The sequence below is a fragment of the Homo sapiens genome, chromosome 1 (genome assembly GCF_000001405.40).
Source record: "Homo sapiens chromosome 1, GRCh38.p14 Primary Assembly".
Taxonomy (NCBI): domain Eukaryota; kingdom Metazoa; phylum Chordata; class Mammalia; order Primates; family Hominidae; genus Homo; species Homo sapiens.
In genome coordinates this window covers 248,322,955-248,325,305 of record NC_000001.11, presented here as the reverse complement: position 1 = coordinate 248,325,305, position 2,351 = coordinate 248,322,955, and the positions used below count along the sequence as shown (strand labels likewise).

The following is a 2,351-nucleotide window of genomic DNA, read 5'->3' as shown; positions in this document are numbered from 1 at the left end:
ATTAGAGAGACCCACTCTGCTCCAACTTGACCTCACCTTAACTAATTATACCCTTTATGTATTTCTAAACAAGCTCACTTGCTATCTTTTGGGGAAGAAACATAATTCAATGCATCACACTGGGCTATAGAAAAAAGAGCATATGTCTTAGATTTGTATAATTGAAAATCTTTTCAGTGAATCCACTTACTGTATAGAAAACTTACTATAAAGTATAGATAAAATACTTTAAACTGTAAAGTAATAGGTAAACATACACATTTTCTTAACTCTGGTAGGAAAAATGCCTACTATCATGTGAATAAAGGCACAAATTTATTGTCCATTTCTAGTATTGTGTTGGTCACATGGTGACTGAACCTGAATTTCTCTATCAATTTACCTGTAACAGGCTTCTGATGTTTTAGGAACTGTTTGCTTTGGAGACATATTCTTTTTGGAAAAACTCCATTGATCATGTAGTAGATATTGTTATTGTAATTTTTCAATGGAGAAAAAGAATGCTTAGAAGAAAAGTTAGGACAAGCTCCATAATTTTATAAGTGAGACACTGCTGAGAGAACATATTTCTTTATGATTCCATAATTCTTAAACTTTGAGTTTTATAATTCTGGCCATCCTGTATTGATCACCAAACTACAGAATTTACCATAATCACATGCTTTATAAGGCACTGGGTAAATGTTTATCAAATTAATGAACTGTTTTTGCGGTGCTAGGTAACAGGCATATTCATCATGGCATGGGAGAATCAGACCTTCAACTCTGACTTCCTCCTCCTGGGAATCTTCAATCATAGCCCCACCCACACCTTCCTCTTCTTTCTGGTCCTGGCCATCTTTTCAGTGGCCTTCATGGGAAACTCCATCATGGTTCTCCTCATCTACCTGGATACCCAGCTCCACACCCCCATGTACTTCCTCCTCAGCCAACTGTCCCTCATGGACCTCATGCTCATCTGCACCACTGTACCCAAGATGGCCTTCAACTACTTGTCTGGCAGCAAGTCCATTTCTATGGCTGGCTGTGCCACACAAATTTTCTTCTATATATCATTGCTTGGCTCCGAATGCTTTCTGTTGGCTGTTATGTCTTATGACCGCTACACTGCCATTTGCCACCCTCTAAGATACACCAATCTCATGAGACCCAAAATTTGTGGACTTATGACTGCCTTCTCCTGGATCCTGGGCTCTACAGATGGAATCATTGATGCTGTAGCGACATTTTCCTTCTCCTACTGTGGGTCTCGGGAAATAGCCCACTTCTGCTGTGACTTCCCTTCCCTACTAATCCTCTCATGCAATGACACATCAATATTTGAAGAGGTTATTTTCATCTGCTGTATAGTAATGCTTGTTTTCCCTGTTGCAATCATCATCACTTCCTATGCTCGAGTTATTCTGGCTGTCATTCACATGGGATCTGGAGAGGGACGTCGCAAAGCTTTTACTACTTGTTCCTCTCACCTCATGGTGGTGGGAATGTACTATGGAGCAGGTTTGTTCATGTGCATTCAGCCCACATCTCATCATTCTCCTATGCAGGACAAGATGGTGTCTGTATTCTACACCATCGTCACTCCCATGCTGAATCCTCTCATTTATAGCCTCCGCAACAAGGAAGTGACCAGAGCATTAATGAAAATCTTAGGAAAGGGCAAGTCTGGAGATTGAGTTACCTCATAAATTTCATGTTTTGCTGTCTGCTAACGTCTTCTTTTTATTGTCTCTCTTTTTCTATTAAGTCCTAAAAATATCACTAATTGTGTGCATTGCTCAACATATTGATGGGTACCAGTATAATTTATTTCAGATAAACTATTTTAGATTTTTTAATATTCAATTCAGTTATGACTACAATATAAGGCATTTTCAATAAAGACATTCCATTTTTATTTTTAAATTTCATTATCATTTTGGGAAACACATAGTGTTTGGTTACATTAATAAGTTCTTTAATGGTGATTTCTGAGATTTTAGTGCAGCGATCAACCAAGCAGTGTTCGCTGTACCTAATGTGTAGTCTTTTAGCCCTCTCCAGTCCCCAACATTTCTTCCAAGTCCCCAAGTCCAGTGTATCATTTTTATGCCTTGGTGTTTCATAGCTTAGCTGGCACATATGAGTGAGAATATACGATGTTTGGATTTCCATGCCTGTGTGACTTCACTTTGTATAATAGTCTCCAATTCCAACCAGGTTGCTGCAAATGCTATTAATTAATTCATTTTTATGGAAGAATAGTATCCCATGGTATGTATATACCACCTTTTATTTATCCACTCATTGACTGATGATCATTTAGGCTGATTCCATCTATTTGCAATTGCAAATTGTGTTGATATAAACAT

General features: G+C 38.1%; 1 protein-coding gene across 1 annotated transcript; it reads left to right on the top strand.

The window, feature by feature from the left end:
- Positions 1-737: 737 nt before the first annotated feature.
- On the top strand, positions 738-1,676 carry OR2M7 (olfactory receptor family 2 subfamily M member 7). The gene has a single exon (NM_001004691.1). The coding sequence runs from the start codon at positions 738-740 to the stop codon at positions 1,674-1,676; it is 939 nt and encodes a 312-aa protein (NP_001004691.1).
- The last annotated feature ends 675 nt before the right edge of the window (positions 1,677-2,351 follow it).